Genomic DNA, 17,535 nt, shown 5'->3' on the forward strand with positions numbered 1-17,535 from the left:
CTTACATGGTGGCAGGCAAAAGGCATGTGCAGGGGAACTCCCCTTTATAAAACCATCAAATCTCGTGAGACTTATTCACTATCACGAGAATAGCATGAGAAAAACCCGCCCCCATGATCCAATCACCTCCCCCTTGGCCCCTCCTCCAATTCAACATGAGATTTGGGCAGGGACACAAATCCAAACTATACCAAGCTGTCATTAGGAAGTACCACAGATAGAGTGGCTTAAACAACAGAGATTTATTTTCTCACAGTTATAGAGGCTAGCAGTCCAAAATCAAGGCATTGGCAGGGCTAGTTTCTCTCAAGGCTTCTCCCCATGGCTTGCAGATGGCCACCTTTTCACAGTGTCTTCACGCGGTGTCCCTCTGTCTGTGTATGCTTCTGTTGTCTTTCCATGGGTCCAAATTTCCTCTTCTTATAAGCACACCAGTCACATTGGATTAAGGCCCACCCTGAAGCCTTCATTGTAGCTTAATTACCTCTCAGAAGATTTTTTCTTCAAACATGGTTAGGTTCTAAGGTGCTGAGAGTGAGGACTTCAACATCTAAATTTGGGGCAGGGACACACTTCAGCCCATAACAGGTGGTGTATGCACATGTCAGCTCAAGCACACAAGATGGAACACAAGTGAGCAAGTGGCTTCTGTGTGAGGAAGGTAGAGAAAATTCCTCAAGTGTATAAGGCTCAGGATGGGATCCATCACCTTGGGGCAAAATGTCCAGCTCTAGTCCCAGTCTGCCATGTCCTGGCCACAGAACCTCAGGTGGTACGCCTCTTCTCAAAGCCATGCTTTCATTGTTTCAGGAGGGAGAATGATCATGGTCTCGGAGGCTGACGGTGAGGAGTTAACAGTGTAATTTGTGTGTAGCAGTTCCACCAGCTGACATTTGTGAGAATGACAACTTTGAATGACAACTTCCTTTTTAATTTTTTTTTTCTAATTTATTTTTGCTTCCCTTTAGTGAGCTGTAGGGAAACTTTTGGCATTTTCCCTGCCTCCTGGGGTTTGTTTTAAAGTCCAAGTGCTTAGTAAATGTCAGCAGTTGGATTTAAAGATTCTTGGTAAAACCAGCTTGAGAGACACAAATGTGCTCATAGATTTGTACATGATTAGACAACTGTCAAGTGCAGTAGAAAGTAGCCATTGGGATTATTTTCCAAAGGTCTTAGATGTCTCCACCACTCTGCCTCTTTCTATGAGCTACTTAAGCTCACCCTCTGTTACCTACTGAATGAATGTTTGTTCCCCTCAAATTTATGTTGAGATCCTAACCCCTGATGTGATGGTGTTAAGAGGTGAAGTTTTTTTTTTTTTTTTTTTTTGAGATGGAGTTTTGCTCTTGTTGCCTAGGCTGGAGCACAGTGGCGTGATCTCGGCTCACTGCAACCTCTGCCTTCTGGTTTCAAGCAATTCTCCTGCCTCAGCTTCCCAAGTAGCGTGGCCTGGCTAATTAGTGTATTTTTAGTAGAGACGGGGTTTCGCCATGTTGGCCAGGCTGGTCTTGAACTCCTGACATCGTGATCCACCCACTTCAGCCCCCCAAAGTGCTGGGATTACAGGCATGAGCCACTGTGCCCGGCCGAGGTGAAGTCTTTAGGAGGTGAATTAGGTCATGAAGGTGAAGCCCTCATGAATGGGATTAGTGCTCTTAGAAGAGATACAAGAGGCTAGGCACGGTGGCTCATGCCTGTATTCCCAGCACTTTAGGAGGCTGAGGCAGGTGGATCACTTGAGGTCAGGAGTTCGAGACAAGCCTGGCCAACATGGTGAAACCCCGTCTCTAGGAAAAATACAAAAATTAGTTGGATGCAGTGGTGTATGCTTGTAGTCCCAGCTACTCATGAGGCTGAGGCATGAGAATCACTTGAACCCAGGAGGCAGAGGTTGCATTGGGCTGAGATCGCACCACTGCACTCCAGCATGGGTGACTGAGTGAGATTCGGTGAAAAAAAATAAAAGAGAGAGAGATACAAGAGCTTCCTGTCTCTGCTCTCCCCCATGTGAGAACACTGCAAGAAAACAGCCATCTGCAAACCAGGAAGAGGGATCTCACCAGAACCTGACCATGCTGGCACCCTGATCACAGACTTCTAGCCTTCAGTATGTGATAAATACATTTGTGTTGTTTAAGCCACCCAGTCTATCACAATTTGTTACAGCAGCTGGAACAGACTAAGGCACACTCTCCACTGGCATTTCTCAAGGAAATATGTAGAAAAGCAAGACCCATTCCTGTCCTGAAGAGTTAGCATGGACTGGGGGAGGCCAGATGGTAAAGCAGTCAGCAAACAAGATAGAATGAGGTCTTCTCACCCCAGAAAATGCCACTTGACGCTGTGAGCAGTCTTATAGAGGGTAATTTTAGATCTTATTACCCAGCAGGGGTGACTTAAGAGCAGCAATATCCCTTGAGCATGTCTAGACTAGGGAGGATGAAAGGCAGTCCAGGCGACATGGGAAACGCTGGAGAGGTGGTGAAGGAGAGGGAGGACACAGAGAACTGGTGTGGAGACATGTTTGCCTGGCACATGGCAAGAAGGAGAGCGGCAGAGAAGACCAAGAAGGAAGCTGTGGCTTGAATGCCAAGTTGGGACATCTGGACACACCTCCTTAAGTAACAGAAACTAAAACCAGTATTCAGTAGAAATTGTCCTCATCTAAGTTGGGTTTTTGGAAGATAACTCAAGCACCTAGCAGAGTGGACTAAAGGGGAGCAGCACTAAGCAGGTGGCCCAGCTGTAGGTATGCCAGTGGTTCAGAAAAGAGGAAGGGAGGAGCTGGTCTGGGTAGAAGCAGTGGGGACAGAGACACTGGGGAGGCGGAGCTGGTGGCCAGGGCAGGGTGTGGGTGGAGAGAAGAGTTTCCTGTTGCTGCTGTTACGAATCACTACAAAGATGGTGACTTAAAAATAACACAGGCCAGGCACAATGGCTCATGCCTGTAATCTCAGCACTTTGGGAGGCCAAGGTGGGCAGATCATTTGGGAGGCCAAGGTGGGCAAATCATTTGAGGTCAGGAGTTCAAGGACAGCCTGGCCAACATGGTGAAACCTGGTATCTATTAAAGTTAGCTGGGTATCTAAAAAATTAGCTGGGCACGGTGGCACATGCCTGTAATCTGCTCAGGAGGCTGCTCAGGAGGCTGAGGCAGGAGAATTGCTTGAACCCAGGAAGCAGAGGTTGCAGTGAGCCAAGATCGCACCACTGCACTCCAGCTTGGGTGTCAGAGCGAGACTCTGTCTCAAAAACAAAAACGAAAAAAACAAACAACAACAACAAAAAACCAACCCCACCAACTCCTTGCAGTGCTGTAGGTCAGAGTTTTAGCCAGGTCTGACTGGACTAAAGTCAAAGTGTCACAGGCTGCACCCCTTTCTGAAGGCTCTCGGGAAAAATCCATTTCCTCATGATTTTTTTTCAGCTTCTAGAGGCTGCCCACACTCCATTCCCTGTGGCCCCTTCCTCCGTCTTCAAAGCCAGCATCTCTCTGACTTTTTTTGTGTGTGTGATCACGTCTCCCTCTGACCACAGTTGGGAAAGTTTCTCTGATTTAAACAATTCATGTGATTAGATTGGGCCCATCTGGACACTTTAGGATAATCTCCCCATCTCAAGGTCCTTCATTGAACCACATATGCCAAATCCCCTTTGCCACATAGGGTTACGTGATCACAGGTTTGAGGAATTAGCATGTGGCTATCTTTGGGGGCCTTATTTTGCCTACCATATTCATTTAGCCACAAGCTCTAAATCCAGGCAGGAACACCTCTCCCGGGGAGCCCACTGCCTTCATGCTGGTCCACTGTCCTCTCTAAGTATTTGACTCTGAATTACATGAACAGTCCTCTTTCTTGCAGCATTCAACCCAAGTTGTCAGCTCCAAACCTATCTCTTCAACTCCTCTGCCTTCTCCTAAATAATGTGATTTTTTTCCCTCAGTCCCCTGGGCTCCTGCTGTCACCCTGACCTCTCTGTCTCTGCCCATATTTCCTTCTTCCCAGATCAGCACTGCTCACAAGGCCTCCTCTCTTGGTGATGAACCCTCAGATGTCTGGAATATAGAAAAAACTTCCTTCAGCAAGCTCTTGGTTCAGCCAACGTCTCTGCACCCCCTGATGCCAAGGGGAGAGCCTTCTGCAGATACTTCCAGGCCAGCATCTCCTGCCTTTGCCTGTGTGGAGTCATCACTGTCTCTGCACTCAGGGACCTGCACATACAGAAGGAAGGCTCTCTCTCTATCCCCACATGGTTGCTGCTGAGAGCAGCAGAAGGCAGCCAAATGCCTAGGCAGACAGGGGCAGGTCACTGGTGAAACCCCATCTTCAAGCCGAAGACAGTTTAAAGCCTAAAGCTACAAGTCAAATCCTCGGACCAGTTTGCAAACTTGTCTTCCCATTTGTTGCACTTTCCTCTGATTGATCCCCACCCTTCACCTATTTTACATAGACCTACCCTTTCCTAATTGGTTTTCTACACTGCCATGCCCACCTTTGAGTGGTGTCTTCACTTTGACCTTTTTTGCCTACTCACAAACCAATCAGCATGCACTTCCCATTCTGAGTCCATAAAAGACCCCAGACCCAATCACATGGGGGGCCTTTCCCACCTTCGGATAGGGGAACCACCCCTGGGTCCACTCTTTGCTGACAGCTTTCCTTTTGCTTAATGAATTCACTCCACTCACTCTCCAGTAGCTGCACACCTAATTCTTCCTGGTTGTGAGACAAAAACTCAGGCCTAGCTGAGCTGAGGAGCAGAAAGACTGCAACATTTTGGTGGCTCATATGGGGATACCTGGAGGGTGAGTAAATGTGGTCCCAAACCCTCTTTCACCTTTGTTTCTGAGGCTTCTCATCCTCAGACTTTTTTCTGAAGGCAGATGAAGCACCAAACCTCTGGTGAGCCAATTAAGAATGAATGACGCAGTTACAGAGGACAGGATACAACCCTGCCACCTCTCTCTCTCTTTCAGGTCAAAGAGATGTTGGCTTTGTTTCCCTTCATGGAGGTCTAGCCATCACGTGGAACCAGAATAAGGTCCTGGGGCAACTGAAGGCATCTGGCCGAGGACTTAATTGCCAGGAGGCCCCTAGACTTGGCTCCACCCCTGACCACCCCATTATGGCATCAGCCAAGACCCGCAGACTTTTCTATGGTATTTTTCTTTTCTTCTTTCATGGTTTGAAGTGGCTCCTATCTCTTCTTTTACAGCATTAAGTGTGTTGTTGCAAACTGCAGAAATATTACCAGGTAGAATGAGCATTTGGCCTAGCCATCAGATATGCAATTCAGAACAATGTGATTTTCATCTGTTCTTAGAGGCACGTCCCCTACCCCCATCCCAACAGCCACAAGCACACATGGTGGACAAATGGGTGCACCGCAGCTACCCGCTCCCCCCTCCCCTCCTGGCTGGGGCATGTGGCTGTGTCCAACGCATGCCTGTGCTGCATCCAACAGCCACGCAGGGCAGGAGTGAGCCGTGTCTGCTGCCTGGGACCCAGGGAAATCTTAGGTGCCAGGGGCCCTGCACAGCCAGCTGGTCAGCATTTTCTGCCCACCGCCCCCTCCCACCACACACCCATTGAATCTTTCCTCTCATGGCTCAGTCTGAACGAGAAGGAGGGTCCAGTGACTAAGAATCTCTCCCCTTTGGAGGAACCCATTTGCATAGAGCAAGAAGTTTTTTCCCCCCAGGCACCTTCCCTGCCCTGCACTTAAGCTGTTTTTTTTTTTTTCTTTTCTCCAACATGTCGGTAGTTAACACAGCCCTGCGAATACAGGAAGCTTTTCTATGTGAGGTTTTTTTTTTTTTTTTTTTTTTTTCCTTTTGAAAGGCATTTTACTAGGCCAGGACCCAAAATCACAGAACTCCCTTTTCTCTCCCTTGTTTGAGGATGACCCAGCTCTACAGCTTTACTTTAGCATTTGACTTACATAAGGAAGCAGCAGAGGAGCGACCCTGTTGGCTGTTGGCTGCTGGCTGCAGTCTGGTGAGGACCACCTGGGACTTGATGAGTCCATAAACCCTCCTGAGGCAGCTTTTTGTCTCAAACTCAATTCCAAGCTTCAGACTGAAGCCCTAGTAAGGAAAACGGGATCTGAGGGATCCAGAGGCAGATGACAATGGAAGTCAAGGGGCACAGCACAGGTGAGCGTGACTGACTAATTCCTGCTGATTAAGTCCCCCTTATTTCAAGGATAGAGGTCATGCTAGTATCCATGCCATAAATGAGGTCTGGGGAACCCAAAGGTTACTGATAGCATGGGGGACAGGCAGCATGTGGGCAAATGCAGATAATTCCCATCCCCTAGGCACCCCCTGTTAACATGGGTGAAAGCCTCATTGGCACCCATGGGCAGCACCCTGCCAAGGTCACTGGGACTCAGGGATGTAAGGACCCAAAAAACAAATGGAGATGCCTCTTCTTTCTCTCCCTCACATACCCTGAGTATTCACTGGGAAGAGAAAGTAACTAGGGACACTTTCTTCCCCTCTTTCGAGATGGGTAACCAATCTTCTTCAGTCTGTACTTCTCTGAAATGCCTCCTGAATCACTGTGATTCTTTTGGAAAAAAAAAATGCCTTCTTTCTGCTTTTTCCTCCTCTGTCCTCTCTTTGGGGATGGGTAATTGTGTCCCTGTACCTAACATAGGACATTCCCCTTGGATGTGTCCCCCAAACTGGGAAGAGTTAATTTCCCCAACCCTTAAAATGCTTGGCTTAAAATTGAGCTTGGGTGAAGGGAACTCAGAAGCCTGAAATGCCAGCAAAAGGGTAAAGATTTCTTACCAGTCAGACTTCTGGTCTCCCTCTCCCTGTGCAAACCAGTTGAATGAATGAGAAAATCACTGTTTATATCCTCTGTAAGATTTTGATGCATGGAAAAAAAGGATTTGTGAGGCTAATCTTAAGCTGCAGCCAATCTGGTGTACTTTGTGTGTCTTTCTGCATGGTTCTGTCATAAGGAGGAATACCTGAGGATAGAGCATGGCCTAGTACCCCATGAGCCCACTGTTCAAGCCAGCCCCGCAAACTGGTCAGTAACGAACTGTGCTGCAGGTCTCCATCTTGTCTTATGTCCTTGGCAGCTTGACCTTGTAACCACGTGGCAGTCCTTTCTTTTGGTCTCCACCATTTTACAGTGGTGGCCAGGGTTCAATCCTGGCTTTAGGGAATGAGTACTTTCTGCTTAATATCTGTGACTTTTACCATTTCCTGATTCTCTTCCCTTCGATGAACAACTTCTAGCTTCCTTTCTTAAATCTTCTTTTCTCGGCCAGGCATGGTGACTAACACCTGTAATCCCAGCACTTTGGGAGGTCGAGGCAGGCAGATCATGAGGTCAGGAGTTCAAGACCAGCCTATAATATAAAAAATAGCCAGGTGTGGTCGTGCACGCCTGTAGTCCCAGCTACCCGGGAGGCTGAGGCAGGAGAATTGCTTGAACTCGGGAGGCGGAGGTTTCTCTGAGCTACTTTAAAGATTCCAGATTTTGTAAAAACTACTTACTACCTTATAAAAAATACCTTGTACATTCATGGTTAAGTCATAACCTTAGTTGAGGCTTCTTGGTTTCAACTGTGAAGGTACTTTTGGTAAAGTTCAAAGGCTAGAAATATTGGCCACTTGGTGTGGCTAAAGTCTGGTAACAAATAATTTAAAAGGATTTTCTTAAAGAGCACTATCGTTAAAAGTCAGCTTAATTAAAAGTGGCTATCTGAGCTGTAGGTATATTGAAAAGGCCTTTGTGTTTTTCTCTTCATGGATCTTGTTTTTCTGGAAAAAGATTTTTTTTCTCAGTCGACTGAATTACTTTTCTCCATTTTGTCTTGCCACTCTCAGTACACGCGTGAGAGGCCCTAAGATAACTTCTGAGAGCATGGGACTCCTTTGCAAAAACAGAGAAGCTGCCACAGACCCCATTTTTTGGGGAAAAAAACCTTTGTTTTCCTTCTGGAACCCCAGGAATTAAAAAGCAGCTAGATCCCTCTTAAAACTGGTTTTGTCTTTCAGCTATGCTTGTTATTAGGCCCTAGAAACTGCATATTTTCCTAGCCCTGTTTCTTGAAGGGCTCCACCCTGAGGCCAGTAATCCAATTAGGATATTGGCAAATGAAAAATCTTACAACTACTGGATCTTCTTCTGTCCATCTGTGTAACCATGTATGTGTTATGTGTGTGATGGTTATATTAAAAAGAGGTCTAGTAAATTGGCTTAAATAAAATGAAGTGCTTAGATCAAATATTTTTTGAAGGAAAAATAAAAGCTGTAATGCCTTTTAGTTCATGAGACTTTAATCTTTGAGAAATAAAAACAGTTTTAAAGATAATTGGTAAAATACAAATGTCTTCAAAATGTAAATATGTGGCCTAAATTATGCGGATAAGATACTAGGTTTGCTAAGTATTTTAAGCTTATAACCTCTTCTTTGGCTTTTGAGAACTGTTTGACTTGCCTGTTTTATAATTTGGTAAGGCTTGGGGACATATGAAATTAACCACGCCCTTAACTATGCTGGAAAGAGTCAGATTTTATGTGCACTGAGTACATGATTAAAATAACTCACCAGGTTTTAAATTAAAATTTAAAATTGCTAAGAGTTGCCATTATAACATGCAATTGAAACTACTGAAAAGAGATTTACATGCAAAATGTGCAAGGAAAGTAACATGTGTTTTGAGTAAAAGATTATAAGAAGACATGGGAGTGTAAAGTTTTGCCTAGTTTAGAGGGTTAAAGGATTGTTTTGAATTAGATAAGATAATGCTGTGGCTCACGCCTGTAATCCCAGCACTTTGGGAGGCCGAGGCGGGCGGATCACGAGGTCAGGAGATCGAGACCATCCTGGCTAAAACGGTGAAACCCCGTCTCTACTAAAAATACAAAAAATTAGCCGGGCGTAGTGGCGGGCGCCTGTAGTCCCAGCTACTTGGGAGGCTGAGGCAGGAGAATGGCGTGAACCCGGGAGGCGGAGCTTGCAGTGAGCCGAGATCCCGCCACTGCACTCCAGCCTGGGTGACAGAGCGAGACTCCATCTCAAAAAAAAAAAAAAAAAAAAAAAGATAATGCTGAAGGTTTAAAAAAAGGTGGAAATCTTGCAAAAAGAAACTCTGTGTGTGAACATATTGACTAACCTCAAAAAGGTATCATATGGATTTTCCATAAATTGAGCATTGAAATAAAAGCACAACAAGGTTTTATTAAGGCACTGACTTGCTCTTTAAGAAAAATAGTAAACAATAATGAATGGTTTTTGTCTTTTAAAAAATTATTGAGTCATCATTTTGACTAAATAAAATGACTTACAGTAATCTGGAATTCTACTTCACAATATCAAGTGCTTTGAACCTCTAACATATTTAACAGTCTTCCCAAAATCAAACTTGAGTTTCAAGGTTGTCTTTCCTGACCCCTAACTTTTGGATGCTACAGAGGGCCCCTGGAGCGTCTGAAGGAGAGGTAAACAAGATTATTTGACATGTTTAGTCACGTGGGATTGCCAAAATAAAAATAATGTTTAACCTTCTTCAGGTTATATTTTAGTGAATAATGTTAATATATGTTCCAAAATTGTATGGGATTTCTAAAAATCTAATGTCTGAGTATACGCCATTGATCATAATTAAGGTTATTATGTTAAGCTATTTTAAACCATAGAAATAACCAAATTTCTTTGTCAATCATGTTTTTGACTGTAACTACCCTGGACATTTTGTCATTCACAGATGATTGTTGTCATGCTTTGATCCTTTGCAAAAGCTATAGGACTTTGACAGGTGCTGTCAAATGCAGGTTTCTGATAGCTTTGGAGATTGTGACATTGGAATAGAGGGGAACATACAGGACTCATGAAGAACTGAAATGCTTATGAATATCAAGCAGAATAAGAGTTAACTGAAGACACTGAAGTATCAGAAAATTGAAGTAATTTTTTAAACTTTTTCTGAAAACACTGCAGACCTTTATTTTTTCAGAGCCAAGGAAACTTTTTTGAGCATCTACAGCTTCTAACATGAGTAAGGTATACTCTTATAAACAAAATTTGGAGCATATTTTTTTCTCTCTGCTTGGTTTCTCTAGATTTGGAAACTGTGAGTATTCTTAAGTTATGGGAATACAGTTATTTGGATCAATGCAATAAGAATCCATTTTCTTTTGCAACAGGATGCAATTGGAGAAACAGGTTGTTTTACCAAGTCTTTGACTGGAAATGTGTGCTTCCCTTTAAGGAATTGAGCTTGACTTGCAAAGCCAATAAAATCCCCTTGGGAAAACTGGCCTCATACCTTGTCAAAACAGTTCCTATACAGGGTTCCTAACCTGTGGTGAGTAAACAGTGTCATTTCTAACAGGCCCAGGAGCCCCATGTTGTCTTGGGACTTGAAGAAGAGAGGGATTTATCCAACTCATAGGTATTTGAGGGTACAAACCCATGGCTAGGCTCGGCTTTAAAAGGTCTTATCTGAGATTCCTTGTGGAATGGAGTTCCATCAAAGCCAATTTAAAAAGCCTACATGAAAGATAATTATTCTTGTTACACTTTATGCAAATGATCAAGCCAAGACTAAAGTTTATTTTGAAAACAACTCAGTCCTATCATGATTTGTTTTGACAAAAATGTGGATTGGAGAGAAAAAAAATTATGTTTCAAAACTTATATTTGTCATTGAATTCTAATCTCAGTTGTTTTTAAGTTTTTGCTTACATTTTAGACTAAGACTGCTTATTCCTGTGAACTAACCAGTGGTCTCTGGGTGCAGCTTAGAAGAAACAGAAGGGATGGGTAATGTAAAAATCTAGATCAACATTCTAGTTCTGAGCAATTATCCTGCAAATCCTGCCAGGTGATAGGAGTAAATAGGGTGCCTATTACCTGGAGGTTTCTTTGTTTGGGAAAATAAGGCCAGTGGAGCTAACCAAAGCCAAGCCCCATGAACCCAACTCTTAGCAAGCAAAACTATAGCCACCAGTTATCTGGGCATTCCAGCAGCCTCAGGATTTTTAAGCTGTCCTTACCCCCTTGTTTCATTTTGATACATCTCTTCTAATAACCCGGTTTGTCTCTTCTTGACTTCAGGCTGTCAGACTCCAAAAGGTCATGCAATTGGAGCCTTGGATAATGGCTCCCATTCACCAAGTTCCTTTAGATAAGCCTCTGAGGGAGATCTGACTGCTGTTTTCCCAAAACATCGCCCCCTGTCAGCAGGAAGCAGTTAAGATTGGTCTTCATCCCTATGCTAATGGCAGTGAGATATACCTCTTCAGAGGGGGGACATAAGAGTGGCAGGAGGCAGCCAAATGCCTAGGCCGACAGGTGCAGGTCCCCGTGAATCCCCACCTCCAAGCCAAAGACAGTTTAAAGCCTGAAAGCCAAGCTACAAGTCAACCCCTCAGATCAGATTGAGAACTTGTCTTCCTGTTTGGCATGCTTTCCTCTGATTGATCCCCACCCTTCACCTATTTTACGTATACCTGCTCTTTCCTAACTGGTTTTCTACACTGCCATACCCAGCTTTGAGTGGTGTCTTCACTTTAACCTTTTCTGCATACTCACAAACCAATCAGCATGCAGTCTCCATTCTGAGTCCATAAAAGGCCCAAGACCCAGCCACTTGGTGGGGACTTTCCCACCTTCAGGTAGGGGAACCACCCCCGCCCCACCATCCCTTCTTTGCTCAAAGCTTTCATTTTGCTTAATAAATTCTACTCCACTTAATCTCTGGTGTCCACACACCTAATTCTTCCTGGTTTTAAGACAAGACCTCGGACCTAGCTGAGCTAAGAAGCTAAGGACCACAACACTGCCACCTCCCAGGCTTGGAGGATAGCACGAACTCCAGAACTCACCAGCATTGGAAGAGTCCATAACTCTCCTCTGAGCAGACTGTGATGCTTCAGGATAAGACCAGAGCTCCCGTCTTTTCCCCAAGTGAGCCCGCCCCAAGCGTGCTTTGTTTTTCAAAGCCTCAGGAGCAAGAAATGCAGAATTAAAGCCAACAGCTCAGCTCTGACCGTGATATCAGGTTGTGTTTGTCCCCTAACCATACACAAACATGCCCTGCCCTTGCACACCCAGCGTCTGCCTGGGCTGTGTTCTGAGCCCTTGCAGTCAGCTCAGCCCACGGTGGCAAAACAAACACACAGGGCAATTCTGCAGAGAAGAGCTGCCTAGGGGCATTTGGGCCCAGATTTTATTTGAAGAAATGTGGGAGAAGCCACGGCACTCTCCCCAGAGTTCCTGCAAACACAGCATTCATGGCTGTGAGGACTGGGATGGGGACAAGCCACCTCTCCAGAGCCACCTGCCACCTTGCTCCTGTAGGGACCCTCAGCTCCAAGCAAACCTGTTTAAAAGCAAACCTCCAAGCAGACAGGCACCTGTCACCACCCACAAGCCTGACCTTCTCCCTTTCCTTTGGCTCTGCTGACCCCTTCCTGTCTGTGCAGTTCCACAACCCCTGCTGGCCCCCTGACACTGTGGTCTTCCTGGTCCAATGCTGGGCAATGGGGACCCTGAGATAAGGAAGACGGAGTGCCAGCACCCCCAGACCTCACATTCCAAGGGAGAAGTCAGGGACTTATACAGACTAATATGATTCAAGGCACTAAGAGCCCAAACAATGGGACACAGCCTGATAAACAGCCTGGAGAGTAGGGAGGCAATCAGGGAAGGTTTCCTGAAGGAGGAGAGACCTGAGCAGAGTGGAGAGTTGGCCAAGCAGAGGAACTTGAGGGCATTGTCAGCAGAGGGGATGGATGCAACACCACCTTGAGGAGATCCTTCTTCCCTGCACCTTCTCACCTCCAATCTCAACACAAATTTCTCTGTACCACCCACTGGTGTGGCCCCTGGTGTATGCTGCTCTGTGTAGCAGTGTGTTCATCTGGCTGCTTGGCATGACCAGACTGTGTGTGTGTGTGTGCGTGTGTGTGTGTGTGTTTGTGTGAAGAGAGAGGGAGAGATTTATACTCTCCTTCTACCCTCTGTGCTGTCCCCAGAACACTCTCCATTAAAGCTTGTTGAGCAAATATCAATGACAACATCTCCAGCACAGCCATTGAAGCCTCATGCTTCATCCCAAGCCTGGGGTCCAGCGCAGGCTCTGCCCCTTCCCAGCTGTGCTTCTTCAACCGTGAGATGTAGCTAATCATGGCATCAGCCTCCAGGGTTCTTGTGGTGACTATGTCAAGTGATGCATACGTGCAGAGCATTCAGCAAGTGCCTGGCACACAGAAAGTGTTAAATAAATGGTAGCTATTATTATTCTTGGTGGTATTCTAAAGCTCCCACAGCCACTGTGCCAATGCCCTGGCTGGCATTCTGGAGGCCCCAGGGCACAGTGAATAAAAGCTCCCATTTAAAGGCCAGGTCTTGGGGGTGAGTCCTGCCCTGGCTATGCAACCTCAGGTTGGTGCCTAGGAGGACCCGGGTCTCCTGTGAAGTGGCCGACTAAGGCTCTTGGAACTTTCCCAGAACAACGATCTAACTCCCCACTGCCCTCCTCCCCCAACGACTGACCATAGCTCCCAGATCTCCCATCAGTTCCCTGCTTTGGAGTCGTGGACACTGGCCCAGGGGGACTGGCCTCTGTGCCCCGAGAGCCTCTCTGGCCCCCTCCACACACTGACTCCCAGCTTGGCAGCAGGCAGCTGTAGAATTTACAACTGTCTGTCCAGCCTTGGCCTCTGCCCTTGAAGGTGGGGGATGAGCCTGGCCCTGCTGCTGGCCAGCGCTGCTCCATGGGGAGTTCCTGCTGCCTCCCACTTTGCTGCTGAGCCACTTCCTAAAACCCACAGAGGCTGAGGAGCTGCCAAGTCCTCCAGGAAAGGCTGAGGCAAGTGGTACCTGGGCAGGCAGGGTGGCATGGTGGCTGTACACACGTGCTTTTGGAGTCTTGGATCCAAATTTCAGCATTGCCCTTCCAAGTCCCAGAACCTTGGACAAGTCACTCAGTCACTCAGAGCCGCTGTTTCCCAGCTATAAAAATGGGAAAATACCAGTGCTCTCCCTTTGGGCTGATGATTGTGGAATTACATGATATTTGCCCTCAGCCTAGTGCCTATGTCAAGGAACAATAGATGTCTTCTTAAAAAAGAATGTGCTATTAGCCTAAAGCTGCCAATCAAGTTCCAGAAGCAAACAGTGCACAAAATGGGCATCTCCTGAATCACAAGTGGCCGCCTTTACAGCTTGACTTGGGGACCCAGGAAGGTGAGAGACAGTAAACAGACCGGAGGAGATGCTACCTGGGCCTGCAGGAGGAGCAAGGGGTGCAAATGTAGGGTGCAGGTCCCAAAGGACCCAGGGAGGGGAGGAGGGGAAATACCCACTCCTGGGCGGGCCCTGCAGAGGGAGTCTGTGCACTCAGCACAGAGAAAGGCCCTGGCAGTGGGTTTCCCTTGGGTGGGGGGATCCCTGATGCTCAGCCCTGCAGCGGTGCAGAGCAAAGGGGCGCTGAGGGTGGCCCGATGGCACCTTCTTATCTGAGTGATGTAGCTGGGGGCTCAGCTGGCCTGTGGAGTGCCTAGGAACAACTTGCCAGAAGCCAGATTGGTATTGAGTGCACTGTGGCTGGAGCTGCCATTCGGTTGGACTCCAGGGGGTAAAGGGAGGAAACATGGCTGAAATGGCGGGGGGAACCCAGGGGCTGCCTTGCTGGGCATGAAGTGTTTTCTGGAGCACCGGAGTGATTAGAACTGCTTCCCTCCACAAGGCAACTCCTCTGTTTGGGCTTTCACACCGGGGGAGATGCTCTTTTCCTCTTTCCTGTGATTTTTTGTGGTGAGTAGACACTGGCCTTCTCGACTGGAACCTGAAGGTCAAGAAAGAACGAGGGTAGAAAGGAAGCCTCGGTTCTTAGGGACCACCCAAGGGTCTTAGGATGAAGCCCCTGGGAGGGACCCCCTGCACAACTCCCTCTGGATCCCGTGATCATGGAGCGGGAGAACAGCTGGTGAAGGCTGCAGGGGTTTCACATCCCAGGTCTTGGCCAATTTGCTTCCACCACAGACATGATTCTGAGTGACAGAAAGTGTGCTGCTGGCACAGGAGGCCAACAGGACGTCCGGGAGTTGTGAGGCTCCAAGATTGAGAGGGCTATGGCCTCCTTACTCTTTGAGTCACTACTGAATGCTGCCTCCTTATAGAAGCCTCCCCGCGCCAGGTTTCTCTATGACCTGTGCTCTCTGTTTCTTCCACGGTGCAAATTACCATTTGTAATTACGTATCAATTTGCTCCTTTGTTCTCTAGAATAGAAGCTTCTGGAAGAAAGGGGCCTGGTGTACCTATTCTCTATGGTATACTTGACATGCCACTAGGGGGCAAAGAGGACAAAAGGGCTTCAGAGAAAGGCCTAGACATGCGTTGCTGAAAGCATTTGACATTTGGGCTGAGGTGGTGGGGGAGAAGGCAACAGCAATTTCTAGGCACGGGAAGAGTTATGTCATGCAAAGTGTAACCTGGCACAGAGCAGGGGAGAGACTGGAGACCAGGAGACAAGTTTGGAGGCCACTGCCATGGGTTAGCTGAAACAGGGAGGGGACTTGGAGAGTGGGGCATGGCCCACCAGAGAGGAGATAGGAGAATCTTCCAGACCCTAAAGCCAACAGAGAAGAGCCAGTTCATGCAGACAGGAGATACAGCGGGAAGTCAGAGCACGTGTCCATTCATTAACGGGGTAGTGCCATCATCCAGGAGGGAGTGGGGCTGCAGGGATGGAGACATGGAGTGGTCATCATAAGGAACGTGTGCTTGAAGCTACTGCAATTCTAAAACAAATTGGAGAAACAGATTTTCACCATAGACTTTCATTCTACCACTCTGGAGTTCCAATTTGGCCCAGATTCTGATCACCCAAAGCAGAAACATAGAGGAGAAGGACGCTGGCCAAATGCCCTCGGTGCCTTTGGGGGTCCAGTCAGTCTCCCCTCCAGTGGCTTTGTGTTCACTGTCAGCAGAGCACACACCTCCCTGCCACTGGAGGCCACAGCAAGTCCCTGCAAGACCCACAGAAAGCTGAACCTTGTTAGCTTTCAGTTCCCACCAGCACCTCTAGGAAGCCCAGCGGAATGGGGGAGAGCTCCTGTACTCCCCCTGCACTGCCTTCTGCTGCTGTTCGTGTCAAAGATGATGATAAAGGCAGGGAAAGGGGATGAAAGGGGAGTGAGTTCAGAGACAGGGACAACAAGGAGTGCTGTCCATAGAGCCACTGAATCCACTTAGAGAAGAGCCCACAGCCTTCAGGCTGGCCCCTTTCAGGAATCTGTAATGTGCCCCCACTCTGTGAGTAGCAGACCCTCCTCTGAGTGTGGAATTACATGGACTCACATATCACTGCTTAACCCACTAGGGTCCTTCCCATCCACACAACCCTTTTTATAGCTTGCAATGACTGAAGGTTTAGCTAGTTCCAAGAGAAATGCCAAGGAGCTGGTCTTAAACAAGTTCCCCTTGTCCTTCACTGGCAACTTGCACTTCCAACTCGGGTTTTCTGACTCCCTGCTTGAACATTTCTGGGCTGGCCTCCTGGCCATCAGCTCTAGATCATTCGCCTCCCAAGCCTCTCTACTTCCTGTCTCTTCTTCCCATTCCATGGAAAATGCAAACCTTCTGTGTAGAGCAAAGGCCTGTCAATCAAAGTGCAACTCACAGACAAAAGAATCACCGCAGTGGGTGGCTTCAGAACTGTGTGGCTGCCAGAGCTGCCTGAGTCAGTGGAGACTGTGAACCTCCACTCGGGTGAGGAGCAGGCTCCCTCCTGGGCTCCTGCTCTGGGACAATGGGTGGGGAAAAGGGAATGAGTGTGTATTCTGTGCCTTTTCATTCCGAGCTTTAAACACATCATCTATGTCGTTGATCCCTCACCACCATCCTGAAAGGCAGACTCTGTTATCCCCACTTTACAGATGAACAAGCAGATGCTCCAAGAAGTCACATGACTTTCCCAATGCCATCCTCCTTACCAGGGACAGAGGCAGGATTTGAGTAGTTTTGACCCTAACACTGCTTCTCTTTCCCAAGCATTTGACAGGAAGCTGTCTGCAATGCTAGCAGCTATTAATGTCATCAGGACACAAAATCTAGTAAGGCGACAAAATATTTGAAACCAGGACTGACCTGGAGAATTTCAGTGTCAGGAGGCCACCTGTAGGGATTGGTGGAGGTCCTGAACCTCCCTGTGACTTCTGGAGCAGCCAGCACCTCGAGCCATCTACAGGGTGGGGCAGATTTCCTCCATCAGGCTCAGGTGGCATCTCCTAGCTTTTGCCCAGCCAGGACATTGCTAGCTGACATCTCCTTCATTCCCATCTCACCCCCACTCATTACTGCCAACATCATTCACATATATCCTCCCTCCCTTCTGTTCTCCTTGCTAATTACACACATGTTTCTAGATACTCTCTCAATTCTGGTTGTCTTCAAGCCAAATTTAGGGCTCTGGCACCAATCGTTGCTGCCAGGGGGCTTCTCAGAGACTGGAAGCACCAAGTGTGATGTCTTTGCCTCAGGAACATGTCTGCAAT

General features: G+C 47.2%; 2 long non-coding RNA genes across 6 annotated transcripts in view; both read right to left on the bottom strand.

The window, feature by feature from the left end:
• Window positions 1–223: 223 nt before the first annotated feature.
• On the bottom strand, window positions 224–12,836 carry LOC105378520 (uncharacterized). 5 transcript variants are annotated; one of them, XR_946375.3, is made up of 3 exons: window positions 11,859–12,832; window positions 5,944–7,371; window positions 224–837 (listed from the first exon to the last, which is right to left on the bottom strand). It is a non-coding gene; the product is annotated as an uncharacterized LOC105378520 (long non-coding RNA). The 5 variants fall into 5 exon arrangements; XR_946373.3 differs by having other exon boundaries at window positions 224–886; XR_007062316.1 differs by lacking the exon at window positions 224–837 and having other exon boundaries at window positions 4,752–6,088; window positions 7,220–7,371; window positions 11,859–12,836.
• A 1,791-nt stretch (window positions 12,837–14,627) lies between these two features.
• The window catches only part of LOC105378521 (uncharacterized), a 78,111-nt gene continuing 75,203 nt past the window's right edge, over window positions 14,628–17,535 (bottom strand). The window contains exon 4 of the long non-coding RNA XR_001747611.2: window positions 14,628–14,824. This is a non-coding gene — a long non-coding RNA (uncharacterized LOC105378521). The remainder of the gene's footprint in view (window positions 14,825–17,535) is intronic.

This window comes from Homo sapiens, chromosome 10 (assembly GCF_000001405.40).
Source record: "Homo sapiens chromosome 10, GRCh38.p14 Primary Assembly".
NCBI lineage: Eukaryota > Metazoa > Chordata > Mammalia > Primates > Hominidae > Homo > Homo sapiens.